Source organism: Homo sapiens, chromosome 2 (genome assembly GCF_000001405.40).
Source record: "Homo sapiens chromosome 2, GRCh38.p14 Primary Assembly".
Taxonomy (NCBI): domain Eukaryota; kingdom Metazoa; phylum Chordata; class Mammalia; order Primates; family Hominidae; genus Homo; species Homo sapiens.
The window spans coordinates 110,344,175-110,359,126 of NC_000002.12; the positions used below are offsets into that span (position 1 = coordinate 110,344,175).

General features: G+C 45.5%; 1 long non-coding RNA gene across 1 annotated transcript, besides 1 other annotated feature; it reads left to right on the top strand.

Moving 5' to 3' along the window:
- Positions 1-1,727: 1,727 nt before the first annotated feature.
- On the top strand, positions 1,728-2,568 carry LOC105375809 (uncharacterized). The gene is made up of 3 exons (XR_007087173.1): positions 1,728-1,814; positions 1,922-2,146; positions 2,485-2,568. It is a non-coding gene; the product is annotated as an uncharacterized LOC105375809 (long non-coding RNA).
- Positions 2,273-2,956: an enhancer, noted in NCBI's record as "H3K4me1 hESC enhancer chr2:111104024-111104707 (GRCh37/hg19 assembly coordinates)". NCBI's record gives its function as "activates a minimal SCP1, AML or CMV promoter by ChIP-STARR-seq in naive H9 embryonic stem cells {active_cell/tissue: H9 hESC(naive)}" and the evidence as "EXISTENCE:reporter gene assay evidence [ECO:0000049][PMID:30033119]".

The window sequence follows — 14,952 nt, forward strand, 5'->3', positions numbered from 1 at the left end:
CCTGGCATGCTTCCTGGCAGGACTGTGCTTCATAAACTGTCACTGTTGCTGTCACTCTGGGTGAACGCAGGCCAGCCACCACAGAACAGCAAGGTAGGGAGGAGTGGCCAGGCCAGCAGGTCTCTATGCCCAGGGAGGGGCTCAGTGGCACCTCCCTGATCCCTCTCTGTACTCCCCATGTCTGATTGCCTGCACTTCCCAAGCACCTGCTGTGGACAACCCTGCTGGGCACCGAGCACCCAGGCATGCACCAGGCTCCTTCTGCCTTGGGAGGCTCTCAGCTCTACAGCCCCTGAGGTCAAGACCTTAGGCTGCGTTGGCTAAACTTGTACTCTAATGTCAGCTCTGCACCTTACTGATGATGACCTGAGGCTCTTTGTGAATGAGAGTAGTACCCATGTCACAGGGTTGGGCAGGAGCAGATGGCACACTTAGCTCAGGCTCAGCACAGGCTCAGCCCAGGATCAGTACAGGCTCCACAAAGGTGCAGCACAGACTCAGCCCAAACTCAGTCTCAGGTCTCAGCACAGGGCTTAGCACAGACTCAGCTCAGCCTCAGCCTCAGGGCTCAGCACAACTCAGCCTACGCTCAGCACAACTCAGCCTCAGGGCTCAGCACAACTCAGCCTCAGGGCTCAGCACAACTCAGCCTACGCTCAGCACAACTCAGCCTACGCTCAGCACAGCCTCAGCCTCAGGGCTCAGCACAACTCAGCCTCAGGGCTCAGCACAGCCTCAGCCTCAGGGCTCAGCACAACTCAGCCTCAGGGCTCAGCACAACTCAGCCTACGCTCAGCACAGGCCCAGCACAGGGCTTAGCACAGACTCAGCAGAGGCTCAGCCCAGGCTCAGGACACAACCAGCACAGGATCAGCACACGCTCAATGCAAGCTCAGGACAAGGACTCAGGCCAGGCTCAGCATATACTCAGCACAGACTCGGCACAGGCTCAGCACAGGGCTCAGCAAAGACTCAGCACAGACTCAGCAGAGGCTCAACACAGGCTCAATGCAGGCCCAGCAAAGGCATGACCACTAGTATAACTCTCAGTTCTAGCTGAGTACTCTAGTCACACCCCGAGTCCTCCGAGGACTGATGCCCACAGGGATCCCAGTTGGCTCCAAAGGCCAACGTCTTTTATAGTGAGTCTACTCAGCATTTAACCCAGTTCCCCTCCACCTCCAGGCCTCTCCACCCCCAGCGGGCCCTGCCAGCCTGGCTACTTCTGTGCAGAAGGTGCATCATCCCCTTCTCCAAAGGACAGGGTGACAGGGGCTCCCTGCCCCCTGGGATCCTTCTGCCGTGACTGTATCCTTGGGCTCCGCTCTCAGCCCAACTCGCCCTCCTGTCCCAGGACTGCAGACAGATCTGATTCCTCCGGCTTGCACCTGTGCCCCTGAGCAGGTGGGAGGAAGCCAGAGGAGAGGTGCCCCGCTAGAGTCAGGCCTGAGGCAAGAAGGCTTGCAGAGGGTTGTGGTTGTGGTTAAAGTACATTTTGGGCATTTGCTGTGGCTTGAGTTGTTTGGTGGGGATGGCTGAGGGATCACCTTGGCTGAGGGATCACCCCAGCCAAGGACCTGTGAGATTGGAACCTTCCAGCCCCACATCTGGGGAGAAAAGTGAGGGCAGCCCTTGCTCTGCAGGCACCCCGGCCACCCAGGCCTGCCCCTCTGGCCACTACTGCCCTGGAGGAAGTGAGACCCACTCGGGAGCTCCCCAGGCCTGCCCTGAGCATACCTACCTGGCAACAGATGGAGGCCATAGTCAGGCGGAGTGCCTCCCCTGCCCTGCTGGGTACCACTGCCCATGGCCAGGTAAGAGCCTGTCTGCAGGCTGGATGTGGGGGCCTTGGGGAGGAGAGGGAAGAGGCTGTCAGGAGCCCCTCAGGCAACCCTTCTTAGCCTGATGCTTTTGCCCCCAGGTCTCTCTTCCTTTGAAGACCACCCATGTCCTCCGGGCCACTGGTGTCTAGGTGACCAGGGTGCCTTTTTCTGCCCACCTGGCACCTTTAGGTCAGAGCCAGGGGCATCAGCACAGGAAGACTGTGAGCTCTGCCCTCCTGGCTACCACTGCCCAGACCCTGAGCTTCAGGGTCATGCAAATGTGTTTGCCATCCCCTGCCCAGCTGGATCTGAGTGCCCAGCAGGTGAGGCTGCAGGATGACCCCAGCCCCTTCCCATCCCTTCCCTCATCCCTGAGGCTCATGCCTGAGCTCTGCAGAAAGCCCTGATTGAGCTCAGGCCACAGATGTGGCACAGCCACACCTGACCAGCCCCCACAAGGCACACCCAGTCTCTGGTGGCATCCACACCACCTGGATGTCCCCAGACCAAGGTGCCTTCAAGTCACCTCTTCCTCCCCATCTGGGTCAAGGAGGAGGCCGGCCAGAGGTTTAACTAGAAATAGCATGCCCCCTACAAAGTGTCCAGTACCTGCCACACCTCAAGGCACAACCAAAAGCACCCTCCTGTTGGCTGCCCTCAGGTGAGCTGTGGCCTCAGTGCCACTGCCCTGTGCGTCCTCATCAGAGCTCCCACCTCCACCTCATGAAATGCATCCTCCTTCCCCACCGCGGCGGCTGGCTGCACAAAGACACGGGAACTTCCTGCCATTGATCTCGGTTCATGACACCACCACCCGCACGAGTCACCCTCCCTGACCACACGAGATCTCCCTTCACCTGCAAGCTCCGCACTCCTTCCTGGTTTCCACACTGTTCCCCACCACCTCAGAGGCCTCACCCTACTGCTGTCCTCCCTGCCCAGGCCTCACCTGGGGAGCCTGGGGACCCTCCTGAGTTCTCCTCCGGCTCTGGACCTCTCCTGGCTTCCAAGTGCCATTGATGGGTGAAGAAGGGACTTGGGGTGTCCTCCAAACCATGCCCACATTGTGGCCTGTTCTCCCGCATCCCTGGCCCTGTCTCTTCAGGTGCTGTGGCTGAGGTCCCCTGTAGGCCCGGCTCCTACTGTGGGCCTCAGACGGGGCTGCCCCCACTCTGCCCCGGGGGGCTATGCCTGCCCTGTCAGCTCCTCCACCTACAGTGGCCTGGGGCAGCGGTGAGTTCCTTCCCCCTACCCCCCCAAGGGTCTGAGCCCCAACCCCAGCCCTGGAACTGCTGTCAGCACCCTATGTGAGGCCCCACCATGACAAGCATGTGTGCCTCAGAAATCCAGCCAAAGGGCAGGGCCCAAAAGCAAGCCCTGGTGACCCTCTGCCTGGGCTTCCCAGCTAGGGCCAGCCCCTGCCTCTGCCCCAGGGAAGGTGGGGTGAGGAAGCACATTGCCCTGGGATGCCCCATCAGAGTGCAGGCTCATCCTGGTGGGGCAGCCAGATGGAGCTCACAAAAATACAGCACGCCTAGTTACATTTGAATTGCCGGTAAAGGACAATGCATTTTTACTGTAAGTATGGCCCATGCAATATTGGGGGTGCACTTCTACTAAAATCATTCTCATTGTTTATTTGAAATTTGAATAGGACTGGGCATGGAGTATTTCATCTGGTAAGCCCCATCCCGTGTCTGGGACTAACACCCTGACATCAGATCCACTCCACAACACCCCTCTGCCCAGGGTGGAATGGGCAGGCAGTGCCGGCCTGGTTAACTGGGCATGGCTCATCCACCACCAGAAAGGCAGCTTGGTGCCGTGGCCCCACCAGACACAAGGCAACCCCAGGACCCCTGACTGGGACAGTAGCAGAGTCCCCGTCCGCTAGCAGCTGAGGCCCCAGGCCAGGGAAAGTCGGCCCCCGCTAGCGAGAGAACCCACCGCACACACAGGTTCCGGCAGCATGAACCAGCCGGGCTCTGTCTCTGCAGCTGTGTCTTTCCCCATTACTGCCCCCCGGGCAGTGCCCAACCTCGTGCCTGCCCTGGGGGCTCCGAAGCCCTGAATGGGACCAGCCTCAGGGTCTCTGAGGAGATATGCTGCCTGCCGCCTCTGTGAAGCGGGCACCTACCGCAGCCGGGCCCTGGATGCTCTACCCTTACAGCCCTGCCCGCCTGGATTCAGCTGCCCCCAGGGTGAGTCCCTGGGAGGCCTGGGCAGGAGCAGGGGGACCGGGACTGGAGGTGACCCAGAGTGGAGATCAGTGAGGCGGGTGGAGGCGCAGGCAGGGAGGGCCCCTCAGAGCCTGGGGACAGCCCAAGAGGCCTGGAGCAGCCCAAGACACAGACCCAAGAACATGTGGAGGATGGGGACACAGAGCAGGTGAGTGTCAGCTGCCTCCGTGTCAGGTTTAAAAGTCCTCTAGACACAGGGCAGAGCAGCATGCACACAGATGTGTCGGAGCCAGTGGCCCAGGCACTCTGGAGAGAAGGAAAGCCACTGCCCAGCGCCCCGCACCTGACTGAGAGGGAGACCAAGGGGCTGGCGGGGAGGGTGAGGGGTTACAGGGCACAGAGCCCTCTACTGCCCCCACAATCTAGATTCTTCCCCCATTTACTGCATTGTTTCCCCCCTCCCTCAGCAGGCATATCCCTACCCTGGACACCCCCAGTCCACTCTCAGTCCCTGCCTCGGCTGGGGCAGAATTTCCCCTCTGTGTTCCTCCAGGGTCAGAGAGCTACCAGGGCCATTCCTGCCCGGTGGGCCACTACTGCCCTGCAGGGACTCGCAGCCCAAGGCCCTGCCCAGCAGGGACCTTCAGAAGCAGCAGCAGGGCCAGGGCAGCTGAAGACTGCCGGCTCTGCCCTGCGGACACCTTCAGTGCCCTGCCTGGACAGATGGGCTGCCTCACCTGCCAGAGCGCCGCTTTCTCTCCACCAGGCGAGTGTCAGGTCTGCCTGCTCCAAATGCCCTGTCTGGGGCCTGCAGCTTTGAGGGCCCAAGATGTAAGGTTTCAGGAAACAGCCACCTATGGCTGAGTGGAGCTGTTCTAGGAAAGCTGCAGGTGAGGGCAGGAGTCTCTCGGTGACTCCCACGCACTGGGTCGGGTGTGTGGATGGAGCAAGTGTGTATGCAAGGACTCCAGCAGGCAAAGGAGTGGGTGTGAGGGAACCAGCTCAGACCAGCCTCAGCCACTTGCTCAAGGTGGCTCGATGGATGGGGCCAGCACCGCTCTGAGGCCGTCTAACAGGCTGCAATGCTGCATCGCCCTCCGGGGAACACCCTCGTTCTGCTCACCCAAGTCAGTCCCTGGTCATAGGGTCAAGGGCAGAGCTGCAAGTGCAGCTCCCGGCTTTGAGCCAACAGTGCTGCTGATGTCTCCACTTCTCCCCATTTTGAGGTGTGGTCTTCTCATGGTCTTTGTTGTGGCACCCATTTGCAGGCAGTCCACTGTACAAACGGAAGTAACCAGATAATCTTGCGATAGATAATCCAAAAGTTACATGCGTCATACATAGTTAGCCTCAGTGGGGGCTCCAACTGAGGGCTGACCCCAGATCTCTGCTGATGGTGTTGGCAAGCTTCCTCTCTTAAAGCAATGGGAGTGCTTACCACATGCCAGGCATGTTCTAATGCTATCTAATGTCAGCTTATGTGATCCTCATGACAACTCTATGAACCAGACACAGTTATTATTATCCCTGTGTTATGAGTATGTAAACTGAGGCACAGAGACTTTAAATAACTTGCCCACATCAGACGGTTAGTGATGGCAGAACCAGGATTTGAACCCAGTCTGGCTGACTCCCAGGTTCCTGCTGTCAACCGCCACACCATGACACCTTCAGATGGTGTGATTTGAGGTGCCCAGGGATCTGCCATCGTTTCTTATCTTCCAGCTGAGGTATTCTGCCTCTGAGGTGACCAACCCCTGAATCTTGTGACCCCCCACCCATATACCTGGAGACCAGGGGCTGAGTAAAGTGGGTCCCAGAGGTGGTTGTGTCCAAATTACATTTCACTGGTGGGTTCGTAACAATCACGTACAGGCATTTGTGTGCTTTTCCGTTATTGAGGGGTATATTTTTAACTGGGTTGGACATGTGATCGTAATATTGGTAGTGAAATGACCCTTAGATAACACTAAAACCTTTTCCAGGCTAATATTATTGCAGCCATTCTCTGTGACATGGAACTCTCCAGTCTGTGTTTGTCTGCTCTGTCTGCCATAGCTTAATCCCACAGATGGCGGGGCTTGAACAACAGAAACTTACCTCCTCAGAGTTCTAGAGGCTACAAGTCCAAGATCGAGGTGTCAGCAGGGTTGGTTTCTCCCAAGGCCTCTCTCCTTGGCTTGCAGCTGGTCACCTTCTCCCTGTGTTCCCACATGTTCTTTTCTCTGTGCCTCCATCTGGTGTCTCTGTGTGTGTCCAAATGTCCTCTTCTAATAAGGGCAACAGTCACATTGGAGTAGAGCCCCCTCCCACATCTTCATTTTGACCCAGTTATCTCTCAAGAGGCCCCACCTCCAGAGACTGTCACATTCTGAGGTACTGGGGGATAGGGCTTCTGTGTGTGAATCTAAGGAAACACAATTCAGCCCAAAACGGGGACCCTAATCGCCTCTGGGCTCAGCACCGGAACAAACAATGTTCTCCTCAGGCTGTGTCCCAATTATGCTTCTTTGCGTCTACGGTAAGTCCCGCTCCAGTTGATATACTCTCCTTTTTTATTTCCTGCAAATTTTGTTGATTTGTTATATATACAGGTTATGAGTTAAGGTTCAAAATAAATTTTTCCCAAATAGATATCCAATTGGCATGGAACCTAACATGAATTATTACCCAGGTTTGTCATTAATCAAACATTTCATAAACATGCAGGTCTGTTTGGGAATCTCATGTCTGTTCCACAGGTGTTGTACTCTATTCTTGTATAGATATCACCCTGTCCTAATCACTGTAGCTACATAAGTCTTAAATGAGTAGTCTGTCTTGCAACTTTGTTCTTTTCAACAACAATGGCTATTTGTGGTCCTTGCATTTCCATATAATCAGATTATTAGCATCTACAAAGGAACCTGCTAGGATTTCTATTGGGATTTCATAGAAACAATTGATCCATTGGCAGAGAAATGACATTATTACTATGTTGAGTCTTCTAGTTCTTGAACATGGCTTATCCTCCCATTTATTTATGTCTTCTTTTATTTTTCTAAACAGATTTTTGTGGGTTTTTTGGGGGGGTAGAGATGGTGTGTATCTCGTTAGATTTATTATTGGACGTTTTATGTTGTAAATGCTATTAGGTTTTTAAATCTTTATCTAGTAATGTTTTGTTTGTCTGAAAGGTGTGTTTTTTCAGCTTTATTCTTTTTTTTATTATTATTATACTTTAAGTTTTAGGGTACATGTGCACAATGTGCAGGTTAGTTACATATGTATACATGTGCCATGCTGGTGTGCTGCACCCATTAACTCCTCATTTAGCATTAGGTATATCTCCTAATGCTATCCCTCCCCCCTCCCCCCACCCCACAACAGTCCCCAGAGTTTGATGTTCCCCTTCCTGTGTCCATGTGTTCTCATTGTTCAATTCCCACCTATGAGTGAGAATATGCGGTGTTTGGTTTTTTGTCCTTGCGATAGTTTACTGAGAATGATGATTTGCAGTTTCATCTATGTCCCTACAAAGGACATGAACTCATCATTTTTTTATGGCTGCATAGTATTCCGTGGTGTATATGTGCCACATTTTCTTAATCCAGTCTATCATTGTTGGACATTTGGGTTGGTTCCAAGTCTTTGCTATTGTGAATAGTGCCGCAATAAACATACGTGTGCATGTGTCTTTATAGCAGCATATTTATAGTCCTTTGGGTATATACCCAGTAATGGGATGACTGGGTCAAATGGTATTTCTAGTTCTAGATCCCTGAGGAATCACCACACTGACTTCCACAATGGTTGAACTAGTTTACAGTCCCACCAACAGTGTAAAAGTGTTCCTATTTCTCCACATCCTCTCCAGCACCTGTTGTTTCCTGACTTTTTAATGATTGCCATTCTAACTGGTGTGAGATGGTATCTCATTGTGGTTTTCATTTGCATTTCTCTGATGGCCAGCGATGATGAGCATTTTTTCATGTGTCTTTTGGCTGCATAAATGTCTTCTTTTGAGAAGTGTCTGTTCATGTCCTTTGCCCACTTTTTGATGGGGTTGTTTGTTTTTTTCTTGTAAATTTGTTTGAGTTCTTTGTAGATTCTGGATATTAGCCCTTTGTCAGATGAGTAGGTTGCAAAAATTTTCTCCCATTTTGTAGGTTGCCTGTTCACTCTCATGGTAGTTTCTTTTGCTGTGCAAAAGCTCTTTAGTTTAATTAGATCCCATTTGTCAATTTTGGCTTTTGTTGCCATTGCTTTTGGTGTTTTAGACATGAAGTCCTTGCCCATGCCTATGTCCTGAATGGTAATGCCTAGGTTTTCTTCTAGGGTTTTTATGGTTTTAGGTCTAACATTTAAGTCTTTAATCCATCTTGAATTAATTTTTGTATAATGTGTAAGGAAGGGATCCAGTTTCAGCTTTCTACATATGGCTAGCCAGTTTTCCCAGCACCATTTATTAAATAGGGAATCCTTTCCCCATTGCTTGTTTTTCTCAGGTTTGTCAAAGATCAGATAGTTGTAGATATGCGGCGTTATTTCTGAGGGCTCTGTTCTGTTCCATTGATCTATGTCTCTGTTTTGGTACCAGTACCATACTGATTTGGTTACTGTAGCCTTGTAGTATAGTTTGAAGTCAGGTAGCGTGATGCCTCCAGCTTTGTTCTTTTGGCTTAGGATTGACTTGGTGATGCGGGCTCTTTTTTGGTTCCATATGAACTTTAAAGCAGTTTTTTCCAATTCTGTGAAGAAAGTCATTGGTAGCTTGATGGGGGTGGCATTGAATCTATAAATTACCTTGGGCAGTATGGCCATTTTCACAATATTGGTTCTTCCTACCCATGAACATGGAATGTTCTTCCATTTCTTTGTATCCTCTTTTATTTCACTGAGCAGTGGTTTGTAGTTCTCCTTGAAGAGGTCCTTCACGTCCCTTGTAAGTTGGATTCCTAGGTATTTTATTCTCTTTGAAGCAATTGTGAATGGGAGTTCACTGATGATTTGGCTCTCTGTTTGTCTGTTATTGGTGTATAAGAATGCTTGTCATTTTTGTACATTGATTTTGTATCCTGAGACTTTGCTGAAGTTGCTTATCAGCTTAAGGAGATTTTGGGCTGAGACAATGGGGTTTTCTAGATATATAATCATGTCATCTGCAAACAGGGACAACTTGACTTCCTCTTTTCCTAATTGAATACCCTTTATTTCCTTCTCCTGCCTAATTGCCCTGGCCAGAACTTCCAACACTATGTTGAATAGGAGTGGTGAGAGAGGGCATCCCTGTCTTGTGCCAGTTTTCAAAGGGAATGCTTCCAGTTTTTGCCCATTCAGTATGATATTGGCTGTGGGTTTGTCATAGATAGCTCTTATTATTTTGAGATACGTCCCATCAGTACCTAATTTCTTGAGAGTTTTTAGCATGAAGCGTTGTTGAATTTTGTCAAAGGCCTTTTCTGCATCTATTGAGATAATCATGTGGTTTTTGTCTTTGGTTCTGTTTATATGCTGGATTACATTTATTGATTTGCATATATTGAACCAGCCTTGCATCCCAGGGATGAAGCCCACTTGATCATGGTGGATAAGCTTTTTGATGTACTGCTGGATTCGGTTTGCCAGTATTTTATTGAGGATTTTTGCATCAATATTCATCAAGGATATTGGTCTAAAATGAAAAAGAGAGTTTATTAAAGGAAGTTTGTGTGTGATTAAGTTTGCTGTAACACAAATATTTATCTCTCTAAATATGGAGCTTTGATATTAAAAATACACTAATACAAAACTAAAAATTGGTCCCCTGTGTTAGAATAAGATTTTCTGAAAGTATTTATTTGTTCTTAATAAAATTACAAGAGGTTTTATCTGTTTCTTTTTGAAATTTCTCAAATTTATGTCTCAGAAGTTCAAATTCTGCTCTCTCTCACTAAATGTGATTTGCAGTTTATATATCATTGCCTTCTGTTCTTTATTCCCTTAAAAGGTAAATCTGTTTGCTTACCTGGGATAAGTCTCTTCTTCAATATTTTTATTAACTCCCATAATTATTTTCTTCTACTCTACCTCTGATGTTGTGGCTGGACACTAAAATGTTTATCTTGAAGGTCTAGAATAGCAGTGTTTTCCTCTAGAATAATTTGATTCTGTAGTCTTGGCTTTTCTTCAGTAGAGGGGAATTCTCATGCTGTTGCTGAGAGCCATGTATTTCTGTGCTCAAGGTATGAGTTTTCTTGTTTACATTCCTTTATACTATCGTGTACACATATAACCCTGAACACGCTGTTCTTACATCTGATTAAGCTCAACTACCCTTTTTATCAGGCTTGACTTCCGGGATATCTAAATGGGCTTCCCATAAGGAGAATTAGTCATATTTGTGTTAGTCCATTTTGCAGTGCTATAAAGAAATACCTGAGACTGGGTAAATGATAAAGACATTTATTTTGGCTCACAGTTCTGCAGACTGTACAAGAAGAACAGTGCCAGCGTCTGATTCTGGTGAGGGCCTCAGGAAGATTACAATTACATTTATGGTGGAAGGTGAATGAGGAGCAGGCATGTCACATGGCAAGAGAGGGAGCAAGAGAGAGGAGGAGGTGTCAAGCTCCTTTAAACAACCAGCTCTCGCATGAACTACCAGAGCAAGAACTCACACATTGCCATGGGGATGGCAATGAGTCATTCATAAAGTATCTGCCTCTATGGCCCAAACACCTCCTACTAGGCCATCTCCAACACTAGAGGTAACATTTCAACATGAGATTTGGAGGGGACACACATCCAAACTAAATCAACACTATAGGAGGTTTTGTGGGGATTTTTGTTTATTTGTTTGTTTACCTTTACAGTAGCTGGTCTAAAAAGAAGAGATTTTATGTTTTATTAAAACAATTTCTGCACTATTCTTATTAGGTTTCATATTACTTAGGAAAACTGAAATTTAAAAGGGGTAAGGATTTTACATTCATAAAAATTTCTGTATTTCTTTTGAAGTATTTTGATTACCACTCTACTTGTGTGAATAACTTTTATTTTCCAGTGACCTATGGTTTTATTTTGATCTAGTTTTTTGAAACTTTTGACATCTTTGTCATGTTCCCTCAGGATGAAAATCCTAAATTAAGTCTTTTTGTATTAAATAATTAGACTTATTTGGCAGATTCTTTGTAAAGTATTATCAAATGATAATTGATACTAGATCTTTCTGTTACAATTATGGGTACATTATTGACATAAATGTTCCAAAACTTATATAAATTTACAAAAAGCTAATTTGTTATCAGTCATAACTTTGATTACTATATTAAATCTTAAGTTATATTTGTAGGGGTATGTTATTAATGTGAATATTCTAAAGATGATATAAAATTTATGAAAGCCTGATGTCTCTAACATGACACTGTCATAATGATTCTGGTTGTTATCTTAAAATGCTGCAAATAATAGAAATAACAAAATTTCCTTGTCTATTGGGAACTTTCATCAAATCTTAACCATAGCTACACCAAATTTTGGTCATCCAGTGTTACCATTCTCAATTCTTCTCTACAAACATTTGCAATCAGCTCTAGTCAAAAATTGCTGCGGTGTGTGGTGGCTAACACCTATAATCCCAGCACTTTGGGGGGCCAAGGTGGGATGATCACTTGAACCCAGGAGTTTAAGACCAGCCTGGGCAATATACCAAGACCCTGACTCTACAAAAATAAAATAAAATTAGTTGGGTCTAGTGGCACAAACTTGTGGTTCCAGATACTTGGGAGGCTGAGGTGGGAGGATTTGCTTCAGCCTAGGAATTCAAGGCTGCAATGAGCCATAATCACACTACTGCACACCAGCCTGGGTTGCAGAACAAGATCCTGTCTCAAAAAAATAAAGAAAGAAAACTTCTTTTTTATGAAAAAGATTCTAATAAGTACGGGCACAAAAAGAGGAAAAAACTAATACAATTAATGAAAGAATATACAAATGTATGTTCTAGTTTTGTTGAATATTTATCATGATTTTTCTCCAACGTGTCACTACTTTGATGATATTTTGTGTAAAATTTGTAGTATTCTTGTAATAGTCTTCTTGAAGTGTTGTGATAGGTGCAGAAAACTGCAATGTCAGAAAAAAAACTGAATCATACTAATTAGAAAAATAGATGAGTGAGGCAGAAAACTAACAAGGAAATTCTGACTTAAATTCAACACTTCACCAATTGGACCTAATAAAAATTGACAAAATGTTCCACCCAACAACCACAGAAGATACATTCTTTTCATTTGCACGTGGCATATACTCTAAGATCAATCACATATTTGGCCATAAAGCAAGTCTCAATAACTTTTTTTAATGAAGAAACAACACCAAGCATATTTTTGGACCACGGAGAATAAAAATAGAAGGCAATATCAAGAAGATACTTCAAAATCACACAATAAAATGGAAACTAAAGAACTTGTTTCTTAATAACTTTTGAGTTAACAAAATTAAAGCAGAAATCAAATAATTATTTAAAATAAATGAAAACAGAGACACAATTTACCAAAATCTCTGGAATGTAGAAAAAGCAGTATTAAGAAGAAAGTTTATAGTGCTTAAGTGGTTTGCCTACCTCAAAAAGCTAGAATGATACCAAATTATCAATCTAACATCACACCTAAAGGACCTAAAAAAACAAGAACAAACTAATCCAAAGCTACCAGAATAAAATAAATAACAAAAATCACAGCAGAAATAAAATTGAGACCCAAAAAGCCATATAAAAGATCAATGAAATTAAAATTTGGTTCTTTCAAAGAATACGTGAGATTGATAGAATGCTAGGTAGACTAACAAAGAAAGAAGATTCAAATAAATACAATCAGAACTGATACCCACGGAAATACAAAAAAGCCTCAGAGACTATTATGAACACCTCTGTGCACACAAACTAGAAATCTAGAGGAAATGAATAAATTCCTAGAAACACAAAACCTCCCAAGGGAGAATTAGGAAGAAATTGAGATCCTGAACAGATCAACAGCAAGTTCGAAAAATATAAACCAGTAATAAAAAACCTACTAACCAAGAAATGTCCTAGACCAATTAGTTCACAGCCAAATTCTGCCAGACATGCAAAGAAGAGCTGGTGCCAATCCCACTGAAACATTCCCCAAAAATTGAGGAGAAGGAACTCCTCCCTAACTCATTCTATAAAACCAGCATCATCCTGATACCAAAATCTGACACAGGCACAACAAAAAAAGGAAACTACAGGCCAATATTCCTGATGAACAGACACAAAAATCCTCAACAAAATACTAGCAAACTGAATCCAGCGACACATCAAAAAGTTAATTCACCATGATTGAATAGGCTTTATTCATGGGAGGCAAGGTTGGTTCAACATATGCAAATAAATAAATGTGATTCACCAAATAAAATTTACAAAAAACATGAACACAAGTAAAAACTTCATGATCATCAACAGATGCAGAAAAAGTTTTAAATGAAACCCAACATCTCTTCATGATAAAAACCCTCAACAAATTAGACATCAAAGGAGTATACCTCAAAATAATGAGTTACCTATGACAAACCCGCAGCCAAGCTCATGCTGAACTGGCAAAAGCTGGATTCATTCCCCTTAAGCATCAGAACAAGACAATGTTGCCCATTCTCACTATTCTGACTCAACATAGTACTGGTAGTCGTAGCAGAGCAGTTATGCAAGAGAAAGAAAAACAGGAAATTCAAACAGGAAAAGAATAAGTCAAATTATCTCTCTTCATAGATGATATTACTCAATACCTATAAAACCTTAAAAGACTACCAAAAATTCAAACAACTGATAAATAACTTCAGTAAAATTTCAGAATATATAATCAATGTACAAAAGTCAGCAGCAGTTGTATACACCAATAACATCCAAGCTGAGAGCCAAATCAAGAATGCTATCCCATTTATTATGGCCACACAAAAAAATACCTAGGAATATATCTAACCAAGGAGGTGAAAGAACTCCACAAGAATAACAAAAATTTCTGCTGAATAAAATCACAGATGACACAAACAAATGGAAAAACATTCCATGTTCATGGATGGGAAGAATGAGTGTCATTAAAACGGCCGTACTGCCCAAAGCAATCTCTAGATTTAACACTATTCCTATTAAATTACCAATGTTGTTTTTCACAGAATTAGGAAAAACACTACTCTAAAATCCATATGGAATGAAAAAAAGAGCAGGAATCACCAAAGCAATCCTAAGCCAAAAAAAAAAAAAAAAAGAAGAAAAAAGAAAAAAGCCAGAGACATCACACTATCCAACTTTAAACTATATTAGAAGGCTACATAACCAAAACACTACAGTACTGGTACAAAAACAGATACATAGACCAGTGGGACAGAATAGAGAACCTAGAAATAAAGTCACACACCTACAACCAAGTGAACATCCGTGAAGCTGACAAAAATAAGCAATAGGGAAAGGACTCCGTATTCAATAAATAGTGCTGGGATAACTGCCTATCCATAGGCAGAATGAAACTGGCTCCTGTTCACTGCTCTGTGTCTTCTGTTCCTAGAAGCCCAGTCTCTATGGACCAGCAGGTATTGGGAGATCCATAGCTAAGACACCAGAACCTGCTGCAAGCCTAGAAATGGAACTGTTGACATTCAGGGATGTAGCCATAGAATTCTCTCCAGAGGGGTGGCAATGCCTGGGCACTGCACAGCAGAATTTGTATTAGCATCCGATGTTAGAGAACTACAGAAACCTGGTCTCTCTGGCTTTGTGTTCTCATTTCACCCAAGATTATTGACCAGAGCAGGGCATAAAAGATTCATTCCAAAAAGTAGTACTAAGTAGATATGGAAAATACAGACATAAGAATTTACAATTAATGAAAGGCTGTAAGGGTGTGGATGAGGGTAAGATGCAGAAAGGAGGTTATAATGAACTTAGCCAATGATTTTCAACTACATAGAACAAAATA